The sequence below is a fragment of the Homo sapiens genome, chromosome 6 (genome assembly GCF_000001405.40).
Source record: "Homo sapiens chromosome 6, GRCh38.p14 Primary Assembly".
Classification (NCBI taxonomy): domain Eukaryota; kingdom Metazoa; phylum Chordata; class Mammalia; order Primates; family Hominidae; genus Homo; species Homo sapiens.
In genome coordinates, this window is record NC_000006.12 from 111,641,657 (window position 1) to 111,664,253 (window position 22,597).

The 22,597-nt window shown below is 44.9% G+C and overlaps 1 protein-coding gene, 1 long non-coding RNA gene and 1 other non-coding gene across 24 annotated transcripts in view, besides 4 other annotated features; all 3 read right to left on the reverse strand.

The window, feature by feature from the left end:
• Window positions 1-679: 679 nt before the first annotated feature.
• Window positions 680-14,233, reverse strand: LOC105377944 (uncharacterized). 2 transcript variants are annotated; one of them, XR_942874.3, is made up of 3 exons: window positions 13,667-14,233; window positions 12,368-12,494; window positions 680-1,229 (listed from the first exon to the last, which is right to left on the reverse strand). It is a non-coding gene; the product is annotated as an uncharacterized LOC105377944 (long non-coding RNA). The 2 variants fall into 2 exon arrangements; XR_007059709.1 differs by lacking the exon at window positions 680-1,229 and adding an exon at window positions 12,807-12,857 and having other exon boundaries at window positions 11,298-12,494.
• Window positions 930-1,224: a silencer, noted in NCBI's record as "tiled region #7524; HepG2 Repressive DNase unmatched - State 4:PromP". NCBI's record gives its function as "represses a minimal TATA promoter and a strong SV40 promoter by Sharpr-MPRA in HepG2 cells {active_cell/tissue: HepG2}" and the evidence as "EXISTENCE:reporter gene assay evidence [ECO:0000049][PMID:27701403]".
• Window positions 4,671-4,771, reverse strand: LOC124901539 (small nucleolar RNA U13). Its single transcript, XR_007059970.1, has one exon. It is a non-coding gene; the product is annotated as a small nucleolar RNA U13 (small nucleolar RNA).
• A 4,442-nt stretch (window positions 14,234-18,675) lies between the features above and the next one.
• The window catches only part of FYN (FYN proto-oncogene, Src family tyrosine kinase), a 213,121-nt gene continuing 209,199 nt past the window's right edge, over window positions 18,676-22,597 (reverse strand). For all 21 annotated transcript variants that reach the window (XM_047418569.1, XM_047418561.1, XM_005266892.5 and 18 more), the window contains one exon: window positions 18,676-20,291. In XM_047418569.1, coding sequence (XP_047274525.1) covers window positions 20,083-20,291 — 209 coding nt within the window. In that variant the 3' untranslated portion in view covers window positions 18,676-20,082. The remainder of the gene's footprint in view (window positions 20,292-22,597) is intronic.
• Window positions 19,706-20,389: an enhancer, noted in NCBI's record as "H3K27ac-H3K4me1 hESC enhancer chr6:111982565-111983248 (GRCh37/hg19 assembly coordinates)". NCBI's record gives its function as "activates a minimal SCP1, AML or CMV promoter by ChIP-STARR-seq in naive H9 embryonic stem cells {active_cell/tissue: H9 hESC(naive)}" and the evidence as "EXISTENCE:reporter gene assay evidence [ECO:0000049][PMID:30033119]".
• Window positions 20,390-21,071: an enhancer, noted in NCBI's record as "H3K27ac-H3K4me1 hESC enhancer chr6:111983249-111983930 (GRCh37/hg19 assembly coordinates)". NCBI's record gives its function as "activates a minimal SCP1, AML or CMV promoter by ChIP-STARR-seq in naive and primed H9 embryonic stem cells {active_cell/tissue: H9 hESC(naive and primed)}" and the evidence as "EXISTENCE:reporter gene assay evidence [ECO:0000049][PMID:30033119]".
• Window positions 21,072-21,753: an enhancer, noted in NCBI's record as "H3K27ac-H3K4me1 hESC enhancer chr6:111983931-111984612 (GRCh37/hg19 assembly coordinates)". NCBI's record gives its function as "activates a minimal SCP1, AML or CMV promoter by ChIP-STARR-seq in primed H9 embryonic stem cells {active_cell/tissue: H9 hESC(primed)}" and the evidence as "EXISTENCE:reporter gene assay evidence [ECO:0000049][PMID:30033119]".

A 22,597-nucleotide genomic window follows, 5' to 3' on the forward strand; every position in this document is an offset into this window, starting at 1 on the left:
TAAACTCCATATTATAAATAGACATTTGATTTCTGGCGTGGCGCAGTGACCCACGCCTGTAATCCCAGCACTTTGGGAAGCTGTGGGCGAGTGGATTACTTGAGGTCAGGAGTTTGAGACCAGCCTGGCCAACATGGTGAAACCCCATCTCTACTAAAAATACAAAAATTAGCCGGGCATGGCCGGGCACGGTGGCTCACGCCTGTAATCCCAGCACTTTGGGAGGCCGAGGCGGGCGGATCACGAGGTCAGGAGATCAAGACCATCCTAGCTAACACAGTGAAACCCCGTCTCTACTGAAAATAGAAAAAAATAGCCAGGCGTGGTGGCGGGCGCCTGTAGTCCCAGCTACTCGGGAGGCTGAGGCAGGAGAATGGCGTGAACGTGGGAGGCGGAGCTTGCAGTGAGCCGAGATCGCGCCACTGCACTCCAGCCTGGGCGACAGAGCAAGAATCCGTTTCAAAAAAAAAAAAAAATTAGCCGGGCATGGTGGTGCGTGCCTGTAATCCCAGCTACTCAGGAGGCTGAGGCAGGAGAATCACTTGTACTTGGGAGGTGGAGGCTGCAGTGAGCCGAGATCACACCGCCGCACTCCAGCTTGGGTGACAGAGTGGGAAGCTGTGCCAAAAAAAAAAAAAAAAAAGAAAAGACATTTGACTTCTATTGGTTTCCTCTAAACCAAATATGAAAGTTGACTCCTAAAATTCATTTTTGGTGAGGATCATCTCAACACAACAATGAGGAAGAGTAACTCTGTATTTGGTAATTTCCCCAGTGTCACAGAAGCAGGGGTTCAAACCAACTCTTCTTTCTGGCACCAAAGCCTGTGCCCTTCACCACTACGGTAGATGAGATTGAAAGACTTGGTCGTGACTCTTCACTCCCCTTTGTCATAACATTGCAGAGCCCACCCTTCAAGTACAGGGAATATGTCCTGACCTATTGATGTGTGCTTGGCCACATTATTAGAATGGCCAATGGAATTTGAGACATCGCGATGCACTCTGAGGTCTTGAAAGTTTGAAAGGCTTAACTTAGCTCTGAGGGCTTCTGTGATAGCCATAAGACACGAATTTCCCAGGAAGCCACTGCCCCCTTCAGCCTGGGCCCAGAATAAACACTGTGAAACAGACCTGAACTTGACCTGAAGCCTGCAGCCAAGTTCTGCCGTGGGCAAATTGGAACTCTGAGCCTGGAGTCCAGTCAAGTACAGCAGGGTCCTGGTCTACCTGCAGACCCATGAGAAAAAAAAAAAAAAATCCAACTTGTCATTTTAAGCCGTTAAGTTTTGGAATAATTTCTGTAAGCCTAGCATTATTGTAGCAATAGTCAAATGATAAACCACTACTTGACATATTCAAAATATGGTCCTTGGACACTGGTATCAAAATCATCTGGAACTTATTAAAAATGAAGATTATAGGAAGATGATTACTCACTTACACTAAGGAGTTTAATGGAACAAGTCAGCAGGAGATACTAAATTTAATAATATATTAAAATTAATATGGAAGCAATTCCACTTCTAGATATTTCTCCAAGGGAAAGCCTTACAGATGTCCATAAAAAGGGCAAGGATGTAACGTTGTTTGTAACACTGAAAATCTGGAAATAACCTAAATATCCATCAACAGAAGAATGGTTAAATGATGCCATTTCCACCTTATGGCATACTAATAAATATTATTTGTTAAAAAGAAGCGAGAAAAATTCTCTGAGTCATACTGTTTGATGAAAAGTCAAGATGCAGAACAATATGTGCAGTAAGATTTCATTTATGTAAAGGAAAGGCATGTCTATGTAAATGTATTTAAAAAAAGATACAAACCAAGATACAAACCAAGTTGATAAGTGATTACCTTTGGTAAGGTATGATGTTGAGAAGTGTGTGTGGGGGGTCACTGCTTTATCTGTAGTGTTTATTGTTTTTACACTGACTAGGTTGTACACATATATTACTGTGCCATTAAGAAGAAAAATATTATGTATTTAATGTAGCTGAACTGGTGGCTCATGTCTGTAATCCCAGCACTTTGGGAGGCCAAGGTGGGAAGATTGCTTGATGAACCTGGGCTACATAGTGAGACCCTGTCTCTACAAAAAATTCAAAAATTAAAATTAGCCGGGCATGGTTGTGTGCACCTGTAGTCTTGGCTACTCGGGAGGCTGAGGTGGGAGGATCACTTGAGCCCAGGTGATTGAGGCTGCAGTGAGCTGTGATTGCACCACTGCACTCCAACTGAGGTGACAGAGCGAGACCCTGTCTCTAAAAAATTTTTAAAAAAAATTTAAATCTGGATTTTTAGGTTTCACCCCAAATCAGAAGAGTCTAGGAATCTGCATTTAACTAAATTTTCAGCCCCTGCCCTCTCAGTTGCTTGAGTCAGCAGCAAGCTCAGGAGGAAGCAGCCAGCCAGGGGAAGAGCTGGAAATGTGATGTGGCCTGGGCAAAAGGCACACTGCAGGATTTCCCCTGTGTGGGGGAGGCAGTGGAGAATTCTGCCTGAGGGTTTTCGGTTTTAAGAAAACCAAACGAGGCCAGGCACGGTGGCTCACGCCTGTAATCCCAGCACTTTGGGAGGCTGGGGCAGGCAGATCATGAGGTCAGGGGATGGAGGCCATCCTGGCTAACATGGTGAAACCCCGTCACTACTAAAAATACAAAAAGTTAGCTGGGCATGGTGGCAGATGTCTGTAGTCCCAGCTACTTGGGAGGCTGAGGCAGGAGAATCGCTTGAATCCAGGAGGCGGAGGTTGCAGTAAGCTGAGATCGCACCACTGCACTTCAGGCTGGGTGACAGAGCAAGACTCCATTCAGCGGCTGGAGAAAGTCCCTGTTAATGGCTAGGTTGCCCTCTACAGGGCATCGCCATCCCACCCTGGTCCCATCCCACCCCTGGGGGAGTTTATCTGAATCTTGGAAGGGTAAGACGAGGTACTTGAGATAGTTGCATTTATCAAAAGAGGGCATGAGAATCAAGGTGGGGCATCCTAAAGTGTGGCCAGCCCAGGGAGAGGGCACTGGACACCATTCCACGTGGAGACATTCTGACAAGGATGAGGTAGGGGACAGGAATAAAGCTAGTGGGAGTTTTCAGTATATTTTCTGAACAGCTTCATCTACAAAACCAGGGGCTTGCCCTGAAAAACAGTCCCTCATACCCTGTAAGTCTGTGATCTTCTGGGACTCTCTGCTGGAGGTCAGGCTCATCAAACCCAACAGGGTGGCACCTCCTTGAAGTGCTGGTGTGAAGGCCCAGGCCCTGCAGCCTCAAATCAAGTAGGGGAAGAGCTGAGAGCTGGGCAGACTCACCTGGTGTGACAGGAGTCAGGTCCCCAGATCCCCAGTCCAGTTTCATGGCTGTTCCCAGCTCACAAGTCCCTGTTGTATCAGCGACTTGCTTTCTCAGCAGTTGAGTCATGCCAAGTCCGCCTGACCTGCCTGGTTGGCTTCTCCAACAGCTGAAGGCCCCATGCTGAGGCTGCCCTGCTGCCCTGCCTGGAGAGGAGGATCTGCACCCGTGCCCTGGAGTGTCTGCTCACCAGCCCCCTTCTGTGTCCCTCCTTGCCAGCAGGGGCAGACTGTGAGATGGTTGACAGGGATGCCCAGAACAGAGTTGAGGGCAGGAGCCTTCCATGGCTGGGCCACTGGGGCTGTGGCAAGAGGGACTCAAAAGGAACCCTAAGTATGCCATGCAATTGTTCTGCTGCCAGAAGTTTCCAGCAGGAGGCAAATGAGAGGAGAAAAGGGCATACGGGACTGAATGCTCTATTCCCCCAAATTCATAGTTGGAATCCTAACACCCCGTGTGACGGTATTAGGAGGTGGGGCCTTTGGGAGGTGATTAGGTCATGAGAGCAGAGCCCTTGCGAATGGGAGCAGTGCCCCTATAAAAGAGACCCCAGAGAGCTCCCTCTTCCCTTCTACCAGGTGAGGACACAGAAAGAAGGCACCATCTCTGAACCAGGAAGCAGGCCCACACCAGACACCAAACCTGCTGGTGCCTTGATCTTGGACCGCCCAGCCTCCAGAGCTGTAAGAAATAAATTTCTAGCTGGGTATGATGGCTCACACCTATAATCCCAGCTAATTGTGAGGCTGAGGCAGGGGGATCACTTTAGGTCGGACCTTGAGACGAGCCTGGGCAACAGAGTGAGACCCCAACTCTCAAAAGGCAAAAACAGGCCAGGCATGGTGGCTCACACCTGTAATCCCAGCACTTTGGGAGGCCGAGGTGGGTGGATCATCTGAGGTTAGGAGTTCAAGACCAGCCTGGCCAATATGGTGAAACCCCATCTCTACTAAAAATACAAAAAATTAGCTGGATGTGGTGGCACATACCTGTAATCCCGGCTACTTGGGAGGCTGAGGCAGGAGAATTGCTTGAACCTGGGAGACGGAGGTTGCAGTGAGCCAAGATTGCTCCACTGCACTCTAGCCTGGGCAAAAAAGTGAGAATTCCGTCTCAAAAAAAAAAAAAAAAAAAAAAAAGATAAAAACAACAAAAAATTCTGTTGTTTATAAGCCACCCAGTCTATGGTATTTTTGTTATAGCAGCTGAATGGACTAAGACATGTTCAATGACAAATTCATGACCTTCTGCCTGAGAAAGCCTTATTCAGTAAGTCTGGGAGGGGCTGAGAAACCTGCATTTTTCTTTTTTTTTTCATGTCAGATAGGTAATGTGCAGACATGGTAACAAGGTTCAAGGGTGACACATCTCACACATATGCATAAACATCCAATTGTCATGTTTAAGAACTAAAGGATCAAAACCTGCATTTTAAAAGATTCTCTTAGGCCGGGTGTGATGGCTCCCAGTACTTTGGGAGGCCGAGACGAGACGGGCGGATCACCTGAGGTCAGAAGTTAGAGACCAGCCTGGCCAACATGGCGAAACCCCATCTCTACTAAAAATACAAAAATTAGCTGAACATGGTGGCATTTGCCTATAATCCCAGCTACTCGGGAGGCTGAAGCAGGAGAATCGCTTGAACACGGGAGGCGGAAGTTGCAGTGAGCCCAGATTGCGCCACTGCACTCCAGCCTGGGCGACAGAGCAAGACTCTACCTCAAAAAAAAAAAAAAAAAATTAATGAAAGATTCCCTTAGGTCATGCACAGGCAGATTTGAGAATGGTGATTTTAGGTTAACCTGGTTGAGGTTTGTTCAGAAAGCTTGAGAAGGGTCAGAGGTCAGTGTGATAAAGCAGACTTTGCTTCAGCTGTTAGGAGTTTCCCTCCCTGGGATAAGGGGCAAGGGCTTGATCCACCTTGTGACCCAGAACCTCAAAACCAGCCCCTTTGTACAGAGGGACAGTCAGATGTTGAGCCAGGCTGGAAGTGTAGCTTGAACAGCATCCCCAGGGCTGAGCCCCAGGCACAAGGCCCAGGAGGAGCTGCCAGGCCCACATCTGCGGTCAAGATTCTCACTGGGAAATTCTTACATGTTTGCAAAACGCAGCTAATGTTTCACACACCGTCTGCATGAGCAGCTGCTTTCTGTTCTTGACGTGGGCCATAGGATCTCGAACCGGAGTGGACGTGTGTCCACATGTAATATAGACACACCCTCTCCTGATAAGTCTGAAGCAGGGTATGTCTGTAACTTCAGCTAAGGTAGGGCTCTGATGGTTCCCTGATCAACCGTGGAAGTCTAAATCAGGCCTTCCATGTGTACTAGCCAGTTTCAGCAATAGGCGTGGGTGCTTTAATTTTAGACAAGAGCAATCCTAACGCTTACAGCAGAGCCTTCCCACCAGGCTAAAAGTTCCAGAAAGTTTTATATTACAGCACCAAATCCAGTGTTATGGTTCCAATCAATTCAGGAAATAAAAAGTCTACAATTTATTTGGGTCTCTAAGACTCAGAACTCCTGGCCAAAAATGTGCCCTTTGATCTTCATCCCTTTAATCTGAAGTATTCTCTAAATGCATTTCCATTTTAACGAACAATGCCTTCTACTGGCACAATTCTCTTTATTGAAGAAACTCAGCTTGTGTTTCAGGATTCCAATCCTTGGATTAAATTCATTGTCATATATCAGTCCTAATGTGTGCCAGGTTCCTACCCTCAGTGAGCTTAGTGGCAAGGAGCAAAACTCAAGGATGTATGCTAACAACTGCAGCCAGCAGTGCTGTGCAGTGACTGCCTTCAAAAGACCAGAGCCAGGAGCAGGGCGTTCTCAGAGGGTGGCCATCACTAGACATTTGAGTTGAGTCTCAAAGAGTGGATAAGCTTTTAAGAAGAGGAGGGAGGGAAAAAGAACAGTCCAGGAAGGAGGAAAGAAAGGAGCAGTGCAGAGCATGCTTGCAGAGTTGTGGGTAACTCAGTGTAGCCAGGAGATAAGGCAGGGGTGATGGTGGAGGTGATGGGACAGATGAGCCTGGCCAGACAGTGGAGCCAGACTGTAGTGGACCAAACTCCCTTGGATTTGCTCAAGTAAAGAGCTGATGTACACAATGCTTCAGAGGAATCTCACAGAAATGATGTGGGGTAGCGCTATTGGACCTCCAGATGCTAGAGCGTGGACAGTAGCTATTCCCAGTCACTCTCTCTGGTGGCCCATGGTTTCTTGCCACTGCTTCTCTCTGCACGCTGTGTCATCTGATCACCCATAGGGCAACTCTAGCCCTGACTTAAGCCAACCTGCAGGCCAAGCATCTGTCACCACGGTCTCTTGATTCTTGGATCCAACTGGACAGAGACAATTTGATTAGCCAGTGGCCAATGGACTGTTTGTCCCTTGGTCAGGTGTCTACCCCTCAAATATCAGCTGTTCTGGTCGGGGGCAGGGTGGGGGTGTTATACAGTGAAAACACAACCTACTGTGCTCACCCTTCAATAGAGGGGATAGTGTGTGTGGAAGTTGAAAGAAAGAGGCGTGGCTGGGCAGGTCCTCCAAACAGGTCTCCTTCCATGACAGTGGGGGTCAGTGGGAACTACCACATTTTTTGAGGAGGAAAATAACATAATTAAAGCTGTAATTCTGGAAGATTACTTTCTACCATGTGAAGGATAAGACTGAAGGGGAAGGAGAAGTTGCCAACACGTATCAAACATATACCACGTACCATATACCTGGCACATGTATCTGTGTACCTAGCCCCTATGATGCTAGATACTGTTTGCATATTACTTTTTCTAGTTTTCACAAGAGCCCATTTTATTTATGAGAAAACTGTAATCTCAGTGCCTTGGGAGGTTCAGGTGGGAGGATTACTTGAGTCCAGAAGTTTGAGACCTGCCTGGACCAAAGAAAACACACACACACACACACACACACACACACACACACACACAAAATTAGCTGGGTGTGGTGGTGCATGCCTGTAGTCCTAGCCCCTAGAGAGGCTGAGGTGGAAGGATGGCTTGAGCCCAGGAGTTTGAGGTTACAGTGATGAGCTATGATTGTACCACTTTATTCCATCCTGGGTGACAGAGCAACCCTGTCTCTTTAAAAAATTAATAAATAGCCCAGGTGTGGTGGCTCAAGCCTGTAATCCCAGCACTTTGGGAGGCCGAGGTGGGTGGATCGCCTGAGGTCAGGAGTTCGAGACCAGCCTGGCCAACATAGTGAAACCCCGTCTTTACTAAAAATACAAAAAATTAGCCAGGCGTGGTGGCTGGCACCTGTAATCCCAGCTACTCGGGAGGCTGAGGCAGGGTAATCACTTGAACCAGGCAGGCAGAGGTTGCAGTGAGCCGAGATCACACACCATTGCACTCCAGCCTGGGCAACAAGAGTGAAACTCCATCTCAAAAAAAAAAAAAATTAATAAATAAAAAATAAAAGAAGCCAGAAGGGAAAGTGAAGTAACTTGCCCAAAGTCACACAGCTAGTTAGTCAATGGTAGAATTGTGATTTGAACTTAAAAGCTGTCCAGACTTGAAATTCACACCAAGCCTGAAACCTACCGGGATAGCCCCGTGTGCCTCTCTGCAGGTGCCTCATGTGCTGTGAGTTCGGACTGAGCTTGTCATCTTCTGCCTGTTTTCTATTCCTTTTCCATATCACCATCCTCCCAGTCACCTAAGCCCAAATCTCTCTAAATCTCAGTCTCCTTGTCTGTAGAACAGAGATAATAATAATGTATCCCAAAGGTTGTTCTGAGAATTAACTTAGAGGATTCTCATGAAGTGCTTAGCACCATGCATGGTGCTGTGGTGTTGCCAGCTGTCCCCAACCTTTTTGGCACCAGCACCAGTTTCATGGAAGACAATTTTTCCATAGCCTGGTGGTGGGCATGGGGGTGGGGGGAGGGTTTCGGGATGAAACCATTCCACCTCAGATCATCAGGCATTAGCTTCTCATAAGGAGCCTGCAACCTAGATCCCTTTCATGCAGTTCACAATAGGATTCAGACTCCTTTGAGAATCTAAATGCCACTGCTGATCTGACAGGAGGTGGAGCTCAGGCAGTAATGCTCACCCACCTGCCGCTCATCTCCTGCTGGGCGGCCCGGTTCCTAACAGGACACGGATTGGTACCACTCCATGACCCAAGGGTTGGGGACCCCTGGTGTCCGCAGAATTGACAGAAAGAGCAACTTATTGGCTGTGGGGAACCAAAGGAGTATGACTTGGCGTTTTATTTATCTAATACAGGAGCTGGCAAACTTTTCCTAAAAAAGGCCAGATAGTAAGTATTTTCGGCATTGTAGGTCATATAGTCTCTGTTGCAACTACTCAACTTTACCATTGTTGGGCAAAACCAGCCATGGACAAGACATAAATGAATGAGTGTGCTGTGTTTCAAGAAAACGTTATATACAAAAACAAGCAGGGGCCGACTGGACCCAAGGGTTGTCTTTTGCTGCCTCATGGTCTTTGCCCTGCCTCATCTCATGAGGGCGAGGCCATGTCTGCTTAGTTCATCGATTTTTCTCCAGGGTCTAGTGCAGTGCCTGGCCCATAGTAGACATTCCATAAATATTTATTAAAGGAATGATTAAATGAGAGAAAGCAAACAAGCAAGAACAAAAGAAAGACTGAGAAGAGACAAAACTTTGGGATCACCTGGATATCTGTTACAGGGTTCTGTGTAGGAAATAGAAACCATGCTAGAGTTTTTAAGCAAAAAAGAATATAACATGAAGAATTGCAAACTTGTTGGAAAGGCTGGAAGAGAGGGCTCTAGGCTGGGCCTCCGAGGATGGCTCCCAGAATGTGGTAAAATCAATCTGTCAGGGGTGCTATCACCTCTGCCACAATCAGGAAGGAGGACTCAGGAAGCTGCCACTGGGACTGTTGACTGCAAGAACATCATGGCTGCAAGACAAGGCCAGAAAGTGGTCAGCAAGCCAGGAACAGCGTGAATTACTGCCACCACCGCATTTGCCAGGCAGAGGAACCTAGCCACTGCCACGTCCACAAGATTCTTGATGCCCATGAAGCTGGAGAGTGGCTATCAGTAGCTCCATGATCTTGCTTTGCAGCAGAAAGTAGCCAAAAGCTGCAAGACATTGGCCTCTGCCTTCCAAGCTTTGTGCAAATAAGTCTAATTGGTGTAGCTTAACTCACAATCATGATCCTAATGAAAAGAGACTCTGGGCAGTGTAGTTTTTAGCTTCCTAGACTCTGCAGCACCAGGAGGCACCCTAGAAAGATGTGGGAATGGATTCATGCAACATTTAGCATAGAGTATACATTCTATTGATTGATTGCTACAAAGTAAACTATCCCAAGGTTTAATGGCTTAAAGCCACAGTCATTTGTTTTGTTCAGAAATTTGAAATTTGGGCAGAGCTGGGTGGGTCCAGCTTGTCTCTACTTAATGATGAGTCAGCTGGGGTAGTTCAACATGGGTACCACCGTGTAAGCAAGTCCACGCACACATGGGAGCCCAAGTGGAGAGGAACAAAAGCGCCTATCAGTAGCCCCAGCTGAGCTCCTGAGGTCAACAGCTGGCATCAACGTAGCAGTGTGTTGATGCAGAGCCATTGTGAAATGCAAGAGCCCTTGTGATAGCAGCTCCTCCGGCCACACCCGAGCTGCGCTAGCTGATGCCGTGTGGAACAGGGGTGAGCTGGCCTCGATGAGTCCTGCTCAGATTGCAGACTCGTGATCAAAATAAATGACTGTTTCTATTTCTGCCACTAAGTTTTGGAGTGGTTTGTTATGTAGTGAGAGATCACCAGTACGTGCAGGTTGTGCTGCATGGGAAGGAGGGAGGAGAACAGATGGGGCAATCAACAAGAAATGAAGCCGCCAAAGCCAGAGATGGGTAATGGCTGACCTGAATGTAAGCTAGGTCTACCTCCCCCTGCACCCCAACATTCAGCCTTACCAGCTTTCTAACTTGGATGCTTCCCGAAAATCAACCAAGTATGGTTTGGGTTGTATCTGCCCAGGTAGCAGGTCAAAGCTTGGGCTGAATGCTGGAAGAGCCCTATAATCTTATAGGTACTGCTGCGTGGGGACTCTGTCTCTCCTAGAAACTGCCCCTCAGCAATTTCTGATCATGGTGGAAGATTTAGATTTTGAAGTGGCAAACTGTCATGAAAAGGCAAAACTGACCTATGGTGGTTGTGATTTTTACACAGGGTTCCAGGAGAGTTCAGGTGATTTCAAACAACAGGGTTGTCACATATAGTTGTGCCAGTTGCATACTGCACAATTCTAAGGGGCACCATTCACATTCTAGTCATTATCCTTTTGCATATTTATTACAACAATTTCCTGGCAGATGGCAGCAAAGTGTCTTGAGGCAGGGTAGCTTTTTCGATTTGCATAAAGGCGATTTATAGCAAGTGGCAGGACGCATAGGTACAAAACTAGTATCTAATAATCTTCAGCCAGTAGCAGCGGTTGGGGATAGAGATGGAAAGAGTGGGGACGAGTATTAGGATTAGGGAAGGTCCTTTTGCTTAACCAGAATGGGCACCCAACAGATAAGAAGTATTGAGATTTGTGGGGTTCAAAGTTCAGCGTTTTGGGACCAGCAAGTTTGTAGAAGAGACAGGAATTAGTCCAACAAAGGAAACAGGTTTGCCCTGAAAGGTAGAACTCTAAGGGCTGAATTTATTTAAAAAAAAAAAAATTTTTTTTTTCAGAGACAGGGTCTTGTTTTATTGCCCAGGCTGGAGTGCAGTGGCACAATCACAGCTCAATGTAGCCTTGACCTCCAGGGTTCAAGTGATCCCCTCTCACCTCAGCCTCCTGAGTAGCTGGAACTATAGGTGTGTGCCACCGTGCCCTATTAAATTTTTAATTTTAATTTTTTTAGAGACGACATCTGGCTATGTTGCCCAGGCTGTTCTCGAACTCCTGACCTCAAGCAATCCTCCCGCCTCATCCTTCCGAATAGCTGAGATTACAGGCATGAGACACTGTGTAAGGGCTGAATTTAATAAGTAGATAATGATCTTTTGTGGAGAGATGGGGATGAAGAGAATTAATGAATATATAAGTAAAAATTTCATGATTCTAATGAGATTGGGGAGCAAGGGGTGAGGAGGAGGGAAAAGGAGGAGAGGAAGAGATATAAACATCAGCTGACATGGGTGTGCCCTGTTGAAGTGAAGGGTATCTGGTATACCTACAAATTCCTGCCCACCTTCAACCATTCTAGGTCTGAAAATCTACATTAGTCATGAACAAATATCATAATTCACAGCAATAGTGCAGCTTCTGACTGTTAAGGTGGATTACATGATATCTTTTCATTCTGACTGATTGTAGATTGCAAAACCTTTACAGTTGGAACAATATTCTCCATTTTGCATTTGATTCTGAAACAGAATCCCAGCCAAGCACAGCTTTTTGTTTTATCTGTGTATCTTCCAAGGTCTCCTTTGCCTGCATGCATGTTGCTTTTGTTCTCAGCTTGTTGTTTTAACTATAGCTTTGCTACATTTCCATTTTTTTCCCCACTATTCAAAACAAGTACTTATTTGAATTAGAGCAGAAAAATACTGAATAGAATGAAACATGGCTTTCCCCCCTCTCATGGTGAGGTCATGGTTTAGTGGTAGCAATGACAATGATTAATGCTTTGCACTTCCATTTAGAGAACTTCAGGAAAGGGTAAACAAATATTTTCCAAAATTTGCAGGTGAGAGGAGGAAGGTGAAGTGACTTACGAAAGATTGTGCTGATTACAGTCTGATTTCTCTTCCCCTTCCCAATTATCTTACAAATTATGCTTTGGTGAATAGTCCTAGAGCTGCTCATCTTTTAAATCAAACTAAAGTCCACTGAAGTAGGAAAATTATGCATTTTGCATAAATGATGTGGGCAAATTATTATTCAATTTTTAACAGGGTTTTCCTATCGCTTTCCCCTGCACAATGTAATATGGTTAATTTACCAGAAAGCATTGTTATTCATTCCCTAATTTTCTAAGCAACTGCTGCCATTTGCTTACCATTTCCTCCCTCTCTGGGAATTGACAGACCTTCCGGCTCCATTTGGGGTGGTTTGGGTTCCTGAGCAATCTCTAGAGGCTTGGCTTCCCTCCTGGTGTCTTCCAATGTTTACCCATTGGGAGGAGTCTAAAAAAAAAGAAAAGATTCACATACCTGGATTTAGTTTATGAGTGGCTTAAATGAATCCTTTTGTAAACACACACACACACACACACACACACACACACAGATGAAATCTCTTGCTATTTAGTGATATTTCCCCACAGTACTACGTCTATGCTTTTCATTAAAAACACTATCTGAATAATACCCATTTCATTCTCTCTTGCTTCCAATTAGCTACTCATTGATTATTACATAGTAAGCACTTGATAATTAACTAAAGGAAAACTACCCAGAACAAAACAACCAGAACACCATGCAACTGCTAGTATATACCTTCCATGATGAATGTACATATCGCATGATGATTCAAGCGAAACAGCCTGGCTGGTAAGTGGAAGAATGACAATGGATTTGTAAATAGGAGAAAGCCTCCCACCAGCTGTTATTAAGAGAAGTAGTGAAGAGTTATTATTATTCCAAGCTTCTTTCTGGCAATTCTTTTATTCTCATACTTTATGAGAATGTGAATATGAATATATTTCAGACCATATCCTAATCGAGACACTGGAGCCAACAACCTGCTAAAACCTTCCTCCGTCCTTGAATGCTATTATCTACCACCCCCTCTATTTAGTGGCCACCAATCAGAATAAATGGTGTACCTATATACTGTTAATGGGGTGGCGGGAGAGGAGAGAGAGAGACAGAAAGAGAGGAGAGAAACAGAGAGACAGTGATTGAGATGCTTGTGTGTGTGTACTTTTGGTTTTTCTTCATTGAGACCCATTTGTTGATGTTTTCCATATTGAAAGCATGAGGTAACCCCTAATGGGGGCTAGAAATCAGAAGGAAACAAATCCAAAGGCAAGGAGCACCAGGCTCCGCTAAACACTATGTAACCTACTTCCATTTGTCTTTAAGAGAGTTCAGGCAGCACCTCTTCCAGGAAGCCTCCGCTGTACCCCCCCCCCCCATTCTGAGCTAGATGTTACTACTTTGCTAACAACTGTGCTTCCATCTGAGAGCTTATTGCAACGATTTTTATGGGTCTTTATCCTTACTAGACTGTAGATATTAATTGTCTGTCTTTGAATTTCTGGGGCTAGGCCCAGGGCCTAGCCCATAATAAGTATACAACGAAAGTTTGGAGGAGTGAATGGTAAGTCTTTACACCCATCTACAGTCATATCCACCTGCATCCTGTTGCCTTGAACAGCCCTGGAAAGGACTCCTCTCATGCCAGCTTTGGTTTCTTCCTCCAAATGTGTGCAATGTCTTCATCCTTCCTACTCCCCTGGCTGCCATCTTGGTTAAGCAGGCCAACCTGACCAGACCTCTACTTCCAGGTGGCTCTGATGACTTTCCTCTTCCTTCTCATCCTCAAACGCCCTCATCTTCTGTCTCATTCTCAGTCACTGGGCACTTTGCTGGGTGAAAAGAGGAAATTAGATGAGAGAATCCACATTAATGGGGGCTAACGTTACCTTTTCCATGTACAATATTATGGACAACATCTTCACGCTGTGCTTCTCACACAGGGCACAGGGGCTCCCTGCGTTATGCAAGGGTGTGTCAGGGACACTACAAGCCACAGGCTGGGTAACATGGCACAACTTGATGACTTGGGAAAATAATTTTTATCTGAAGACAAAGATGGATATCTTAGGGAGTAGAATATCAACTTTTCATAAAATGACAAAGCTAAAACGAGCCTTTGAAGGCACTTTACCTAAGGCTACAGCCTGGGCAGCATAGTAAGACCTTGTCTCTCCAAAAAAAAAAAAAAAAAAAAAAAATGTAGCCGAATGTGGTAGCATGCACCTGTAGTCCTAGCTACTTGGGAGCCTGGGGTGGGAGGATGCCTTGAGCCCAAAATGTCGACGCTGCAGTAAGCCATGATCACACCATTGCACTTTAGCCTGGATAACAGAGTGAGACCCTGTCGCCTCCCCGCATCCCCAAAAAACAAAGACTGTGGCCAGGGGTGGTGGCACATGTTTATAGTCCCAGCTACTTGGGAGACTGAAGTGGGAGGATTGCTTGAGCCCAGGAATTTGAATCCAGCCTGGGCAACATAGTGAGACCCCATCTCAAAACCAAACGGAATCAAAATAAGAGTATGTATCACTTGGTGCCATTTACTTCATGCTGTCTCTCAGGTTCCAAGAGGTACAAGTTTATCCTCACTGGCATTGTGACAGTTCTGGGGAAAGAGTTGGGAAGTATCAAGGGTGTTCACTTCAGGCTATAGATTGGGACTTCAATCATATCTGGAACACTGGTGGCCACACATTCATAATGCTCAGGGCTAGCACTGTGGGAAGCATGCAGTCAGTCCCATGTGCTTAGCAGGTTCTTAGGTAGATGTGTCATTCGAAGGTAAACCACTGGCCCCACTGGACAGTGGGCCTCATCCACCTAACAGTCCATCCATCAGTCCAGCCAGCATCTGCCAGAAGCTCATCACTGTTCTAGGTGCAGGGAGAATAATGGTGAACCAATCAGGAAGTTTCTGTTCTCGGGCTCATAGTCTGGCAGGGCAAACACATTAGAGGAGAGCAGTATTAAACACATTGGTGGCATTAAACAGGTTATTAGAGAGTAGTAAGCCGTATGGAGAGGAGCACAGTGTTCTGGCTGTTGAGGAAGCCGTCGTTTGTCACTGGTTACGTTTTGTTAGAATGGTCCCTGCAACACTGGAAAACCATTTATTTTTATTTTCAGTGCTCAGAATTAACTTTTAAAATAAAGGTATATTTGTCCCTCCATAGGATTCTGAATAGTTTGCATGTTGGGAAAGAATGAGGTATGATTTAGGAGTTTATTATGTATGAGAATTTTCTGGGAACATAGGTGTACATAAATTATGAATGTCTATTTGATATTTCAAATACAGTAAAGGTACTATTTTTCATTATTTTCTTCTCTGTAGTTATAAACTATTTTTGAGATAAAAAATATATTTAAAATTTGGCAATTGCTTTAGTAATCTATATCCCCCTGTATCATTTTTAGAATAAAAATGTGTTTAAGCTTCCTTCCCCTGCCCCCAAACCAAAACCAGTCTCCTCCCTCCCTTCTAACAAATATTTTTGATAGCATAATTGAATTCCAACAGTATTGTATAATATATAGTGGTAAGAAGGTCAACAAAAGTCATTTAAACCTATTAAAATACCTTTCAGGAACAAACTGACCAAAGATCATTTTATTCCAATGCAACTTATTAGGAAATGCCTATCATGTGACATTCTTTGTCCTGAGTCATGACTAATGAACAGATGACATCCCTTTTGCTGTGGGCTTTAGTACAATTCTCTTCTGCCTGTTGTTGAAAACCATACTCTTTCAAGATTCATGAAAGAACCATTCCAATTAATATAGTAAACATTCTTAAGACTCCCGGGGAAATTGCAGATAACATTTTGCCACACTAATGCTACTATAAAATCCTCTGGTGCCAACACTTAGCCACAGGAGGATTCCTATCTTTCTCAAAGCAGGTAAACACCTTCTGGTGCTTGTAAGGAAATCTTCAACAGTGTGGCTGTGTTTGAGGGATTATATACACTCTTAACTTTTCTCACGGAAATGCCTGGTTCCCCATACATCTTTCTGTGTCACGACTACGGCAGAGCCAAATGCATCATTTGTCTTTATCTACCCTGATGTTCTAAAGCATGGGACCCTCTGTCTCCTAGGCTTTCTAATCCTCCCAGCCCGTGAACTGATCATCAGAGGAGATCAGGAGCTACAGAGAATGGAGTGAACAGAAATCCTTTAGTCGCAGTTTACAATGTCTGAACTTTGCAAATGGTCTTCTCCGATAGGTTTATTTGATTTTTTTTTTTTTTTTTTTTTTTTTTTTGAGAGAGAGTCTCGCTCTGTCGCCAGACTGGAGTGCAGTGGCGCGATCTTGGCTCATTGCAACTTCTGCCTCCTGGATTCAAGTGATTCTCCTGCCTCAGCCTCCCAAGTAGCTGGGATTACAGGCGCATGCCACTACGCCCGGATAATTTTTGTATTTTTAGTAGAGGCAGGGTTTCACTATGTTGGCCGGGATGGTCTTGATCTCTTGACCTCGTGATCCACCCGCCTTGGCCTCCCAAAGTCCTGGGATTATAGGCGTGAGCCACCGCATCTGGCCCGTTGTTTGAAAGAAGTAAAAAGAGGTTGGCCCAGTGGCTCACGTCTGTAATCCCAACACTGAGAGGCCAAGGCAGGAGGATTGCTTGAACTCAGGAGTTCGAGACCAGCTTGCGGCAACATGGCAAGGCCCTATCTCTACAAAAAATAATCATGATAAAAATTAGCTAGTGTGGCTGGGAGGATCGCTTGAGGCCAGGAGGTTGAGGCTGCAGTGAACTGTGTTTGCACTACTACACTCCAGCCTGGGTGACAGAGCAAGACCCTGTCTTAAAAAAAAAGTAAAAAGTAATAGTTTATTAGGAAGGCTCCCTTTCCAGCAGAGGAGGGCTAGATGCCAGCTTTCCTAAGGCAACAAAGCAAATACTTATTCACTGCCAGGTTACTGAAGACAAAAAATTACTCACCATCACCCTGACATTAAGGCGATACTTTTCTTTCTTAACAGGAGAAGTTTCTGGTCAGCAAATTCCGTTTCCTCACCCTAAGCTTGTACAACTTATGAGGAAGAGAGGCTTCTTGGGAGGTGTGGGGACTCTCTGGAATGGTCTACCTCAGGAATATCTCTTGAAAGCACATTTGCCTCTTGGAAGAAAAAACCTGGAAGTCTTTGACTTCTTTGTATTTACAGATGTTCTCTTACTTTCACTCTGCAACCTCACTCTACAGCACGCTGTTTCCTAAGAGTGCCCTTGAGGTGACCCAAGTCCTTAGCTTTCTTTCATATAAGACAGTCCACCATGAACTCAACTGATAAATTAAAGGCTATACTTTGAAGAGACTTTTTTTTAAAAATAATTTCTATTTAAAACAGGTTCTTTTTTTTCCAGATTGTTTTGAATGAATCAGAACATAAAAATCCTCCAGAAATATTTGCAAATTATCCAACTTAGTGGGGTGTGAGGATTAAAAGCAAAGTTATCTTGAAAAAGATATAGAATATGTTAATCAACTACCTAATAATGTGATAATAATATATGTATAAGATCTTTAAAATTTTATCAGCTGGGCACTGTGGCTTATGCCTGTAATCCTAGCACTTTGGGAGGCCAAGGCGGGCGGATCATGAGGTCAGGAGTTTGAGACCAGCCTGATCAACATGGTGAAACCCTCTCTCTACTAAAAATACAAATATTAGCCAGGCATGATGGCGCACACCTGTAATCCCAGCTACTCAGGAGGCCGAGGCAGGAGAATCCCTTGAACCCGGGAGGCAGAGGTTGCAGTGAGCCGAGATGGCACCACTGCACTCCAGCCTCGGTGACAGAGACTCTGTCTCAAAAATAAATAAATAAATAAATAAATTTTATCAGTTTAGCAAGTCTATTAATGCTAAAAACAATACCATAAAGTTTTGATTAATCAGAGAACCTGTTTCATCTTTTTTTTTTTAATGTTGGAAGCCCTCCCTAAATGTAAAGGTTATTTCAACAAAGAAAACCATCCTCTTTGTATGACCCCGCATGGCATCAGTGATCTTAGAATTACAGGATCTTAGAGCTGTAGAGATCTAAGGAGTGAATCTCATGTAACCCCTTCAGTTCTACAGACAGGCCCTGAAAATGACAGATGCCAGGAGGTGGCTCAGGGTCCTGAAGCTGAATGATCACAGAGCCAGGCGTGGACAGGTAGCCTGCGTCCACCCACTGCCCTTCCTACCACACCAGGTTGTCGCTCCGTTAGCTCCTTCATTACAGAAGTAGGGGGACATTTGGAAATAAATATACTGACTCCAGGACAAGAAAGATTCTTCTTGTGATTGTCTATTTCTCCTACAAGCAGGACACAGTAAATTCCGGTTAGAAAAAATGTCTGATAAATTCAGATGGTAAGGTATGCCTACTTTTGCTTTAATGATCCTCTGAAATAGCTGGTCAAGAGCCTACCCTTTCTAGAGGGAAAAGAACTCTCCAGATGTTCTGAATGTTTCTGTCATTTGCAAGTCATCGCACAAAGGCTAAATTCACCAGGTGATTCCATACCATCTGGTGTGGGACAGATGTGCCACAGAACTACGAGTACCTTCCATGATTTAAACAAATAAACAAAAAAAAAATTCAAATGTAAAATGCTCTCTTTTTAATTACTAAATTAAGAAAGTTAAACAATTTAAAAATGTAAACTCACAAATAAATCATAACAAAAAAGGAATTAAGACTTCAGAGTTGCTAGTCAGTATTAAAAACTCAATAGAAATAGGATTTTTGATTTGTTGTTGTTAAACATATGTAATTTAAGGTTGGTACAAACAGCAACTAAAAATGTAATACTTTTTTGTTTTTGTGCATCCCCATGAAATGTAAAGTAGTGCATAGTTATTCCACTGGAGAACTCCTGGACATATAGAAAGTCATTCGTTAGCAGTACAGGACATTTAAAACACTTATTTTACAATGGGAAATGTACAACCCCCACCCTCATTTCCCCCAGAAATTTTAGTTGCATGAGAAAGTTTAGCGGGTTGCCATGACTACAATGCTATGGGTTTTAGATCACTTAAATGTGGTTACAGGTTTATTAAATTAAAAATGTCTGAAACATTTCAGCATTCATATTTTTATACAAGAAGTTTGTGTGGTATCCATCTTCCAGTTCTCTTGGTAGTATCAGCCATTTGCTTGCTTATTTTTAAGTTTTGAGAACAAATCGCAGTAAGTTGAAGCAAATAGTGCTAACAGAACTTGTAAATTCAGCTTGGGGGGTGGTTCCTGAAAAGAGTCAAAGTAACAACCACCTACAGGTACAGTCATGAACCAGGAAAGTGCAATCCAAATGAAAAAATTCATGCTTTGCAAAAGCCAAAAATGAGGCCACTGGTGTTTTCAGAATAACACCGGTGCTTTGATGCTGACTTGCAGTAAAATCCTCCCTCTGGGTCCCGCAGCTTGGTGGCTCAGGCCGGCCACAGTCTCCACATTAGCACCCACATTGTATATGTACAGGGACATATATATTATATATATTCATATTTATAAAAAAGAAAACAAAAACAAACACCTGTCCTGATTGGTTTTTGTTAAAACATGAAAAAAAATTTTATTGTTTTAGACAAAGAGGCCACTTTTGGAAAATAATACTTTTTTTTTTTTAGTTGAATCAGGTGAAGACAGAGTTAAAATCACATAGGATTTGCATTTTTAAAAAAGGAAAGCACTAGGATTGTTGGCACTGGAGTAACTATTTACACTGAACAGAGGTTTGGCCTTTTACATAACATCGATACAATGCATTTTCCAAAGTCTGAGAAATAACAAGGTTCTGTCTCGAATGCTTCACAGAGGAGGTTCGGATTTGGGGACAAGTGTCATTAATGAGGGCCATGGAAGTTCGTCAGCTTCAGAGTCACATGCAATCTGATCCTGGGCGGTTCCGCTGCTGGGGAGCAGCTGGCTACGGAATTGAAAGCTAATGGGGAGGGGTGGGGCAGCCTCTGGGACAAGGCCTCTCTCCGCAGACCCGGGCCTTACAGGTTTTCACCAGGTTGGTACTGGGGCTCTGTCGCGGTAAAGTAGTCTTCCAGGAAGCTCTGCAAGTACTCAAAAGTGGGGCGTTCTTCAGGGTCCTTTTTCCAGCAGTGGATCATGAGCTCATGCAGAGAGATGGGGCAGTCCTGCGGGCAGGGCATCCTGTAGCCTCGCTCCACCTGCTCCAGCACCTCCCGGTTGTTCATGCCTGCAAAGACAAGCGCAGTGAGAGTGGGCACCCCGGGGATCCAGGCCCTGACCGCCGCACTTGCAGATCCCCTTTCTTCTTCTTTGCGTCTGCATGTGGCTAAAACATGCGGAGTACTCCCATCCCCCCAGGAGTCAAACCCTGCCATGCTACTCAGGAGTAAAGAAGGAGTGCAGAACTGAGACATGAAAAATTCAGAATGACTCTCAAAACATGATAAGTGAAGGAAGCCAGACACAACAGGCAACATACGGTATGATTTCATTCATGCGAAATTCTAGAAAAGGCGCAACTACATCTATAGAAAGCAGATCAGTGGCTGCCTGGGGGAGGGGAGGAATCCCTGCCAAGGGGCCAGAGGGAACTCCAAGTGGGATGGGAATGTTCTGTCAGGGTCAACGGGTCAACAAACTTTTCCTGTAAAAGGCCAGACAGTAAATATTTTTGGCTTTGCGGGTCACATATGATCCCTGTCTTCTTCTTTTTAACAACCCTTTAAAAACGTACAAAACAAACACAGGTTGGGAGCCAGACCTGCCAACCCCTGTTCTATATTATGTATGGGGTGGTGTGACTGTTTATGTTTGTCAAAACTCAATAAACTGCATCCTTAAAATTGTTGAATTTTATTGTGTGTAGATTATACTTCAATTAAACTGACAACAATATATGAATAAAGCAGACAAAAAAATCCACACAGAATGAAAGCATGCTGCCCCTTGTTTATAGCATTTATAAACTCCATTTATGAACTTCATAAATTCGTTTTCTTCATGCCTGGGCAAACTCTTAGTTCCCCACTGTTGGAGATCTGCCATCATGCCAGCGTGGCTGGGCACTGTCTGGCCCTGCAACCCCACAGTGCCCTGAGGTTTGGTGAATTTGATGGGGAGATAGACCATGTCCGGGGCCTATCTCTACTGATGACTTCAGCCAGGCCATCCATCATTTGAGGTTTTTCTGACTCTTGGGAAGCTGTTGAAACACTGGGCTGCATAGCACTAACAGAAGACAGATCGCTAACTCCTCAGAGAGTGCGGCCTCCTGCACACTGGCTGCCTTAACACTACAGGAACTACCATGCTTAGGGGGTGGCCAGTGTCCTGACCTCCTCCCAACTACTGCCAGCCACTATTCTCTAGTTTTGCTTCCCTTTTTCATTGTATCACCTTCTGCCAGCTCCCCGTCAAGCTGTGCTGTGCTTTGGTTGCTTCCTGGCCGGTGAGGCTGTCATCTGGAATCCTCCCCAGTATCTGACCCGGTTAATTTGCAGGAGCAAGAACCCGATGTCAAGCCATATAGAAACCAAGATTTCTTCCCCTATTTCCCAGGGCTACAGCCAGCAGGAGCACACACCATATGCATGGAGCTTCCTTTACTTCTAGGGGAGGTGGCGACCCGTTAGCTAGAAACTTGTCAGCACAGCCAGAGGCGCTGGGCCAGAGCACAGCCTGTCCCCCTGCAGAGGGAACACTCGGACTTCGGGGTCTGTTGCCAGTCCTCTTGGTTGTGTTGTTACTTGTGGAGCTGAGTGTATCCTGGCTCCTCCTGGCTGTCAACCACAGCCTGTCAGTCACATGTCTCTCCAGACCTTTTCAGGATGCTTTCTTATTCTCTGCCATTATCATTTCTTGAGGTAATAAAAATTCACATATTGTTTCTGCTGTACTGAAGTAGGCCTTCAATGCAATTATTGTAAAATAACCTCACTCACGTGTCAGGGCGACCCCTTATTTTAGGGAGAGAGGTTTGGTGAAGGAGTCAGGGTCCCTGCCTCTGTGCCATGCATGCCTTTACCAGCGACTTCCTCAGTTGCATGGGAGGAGTGAGAGGCAGCGCTGTGGCTAATTAGCCTACATCCTCCTCCAATGGCTGAAAATGGGGGATGGGGGCGGGGAGCTGGAAGCAAGGGAGGAACTGGAGCATGCTCGGGAATGAAAGGCAGCCTCCTCCGGCTCTAGATAAACGCGGACAGAGGCCAGCATTTCCTTCTCCACAATTCCACCATCCAACGAGCTCTGAACACCATCAAGTTTTTGTAACTCACTTGACTACAGAACTGATCTGAACTGACCTCATCTGGCCACAAAACCTGAACTGATTACGAGGCTATTTACTGTTTTTATTTCTTCATACATATTGCCCAGAAAGATTAGGAAGAGTGTGTAATCACGTAGCAGAACTGGCACTCTCCAAAGCATTTGCCTTGCCGCATCTTTTAGTACTGTCCTTGGTTTCATATTTCAGCAATGACAGAGCTTGGACCAGCAGAAATCTCCCTTGTCTCTGTCCCTTCCAGGAGTCCA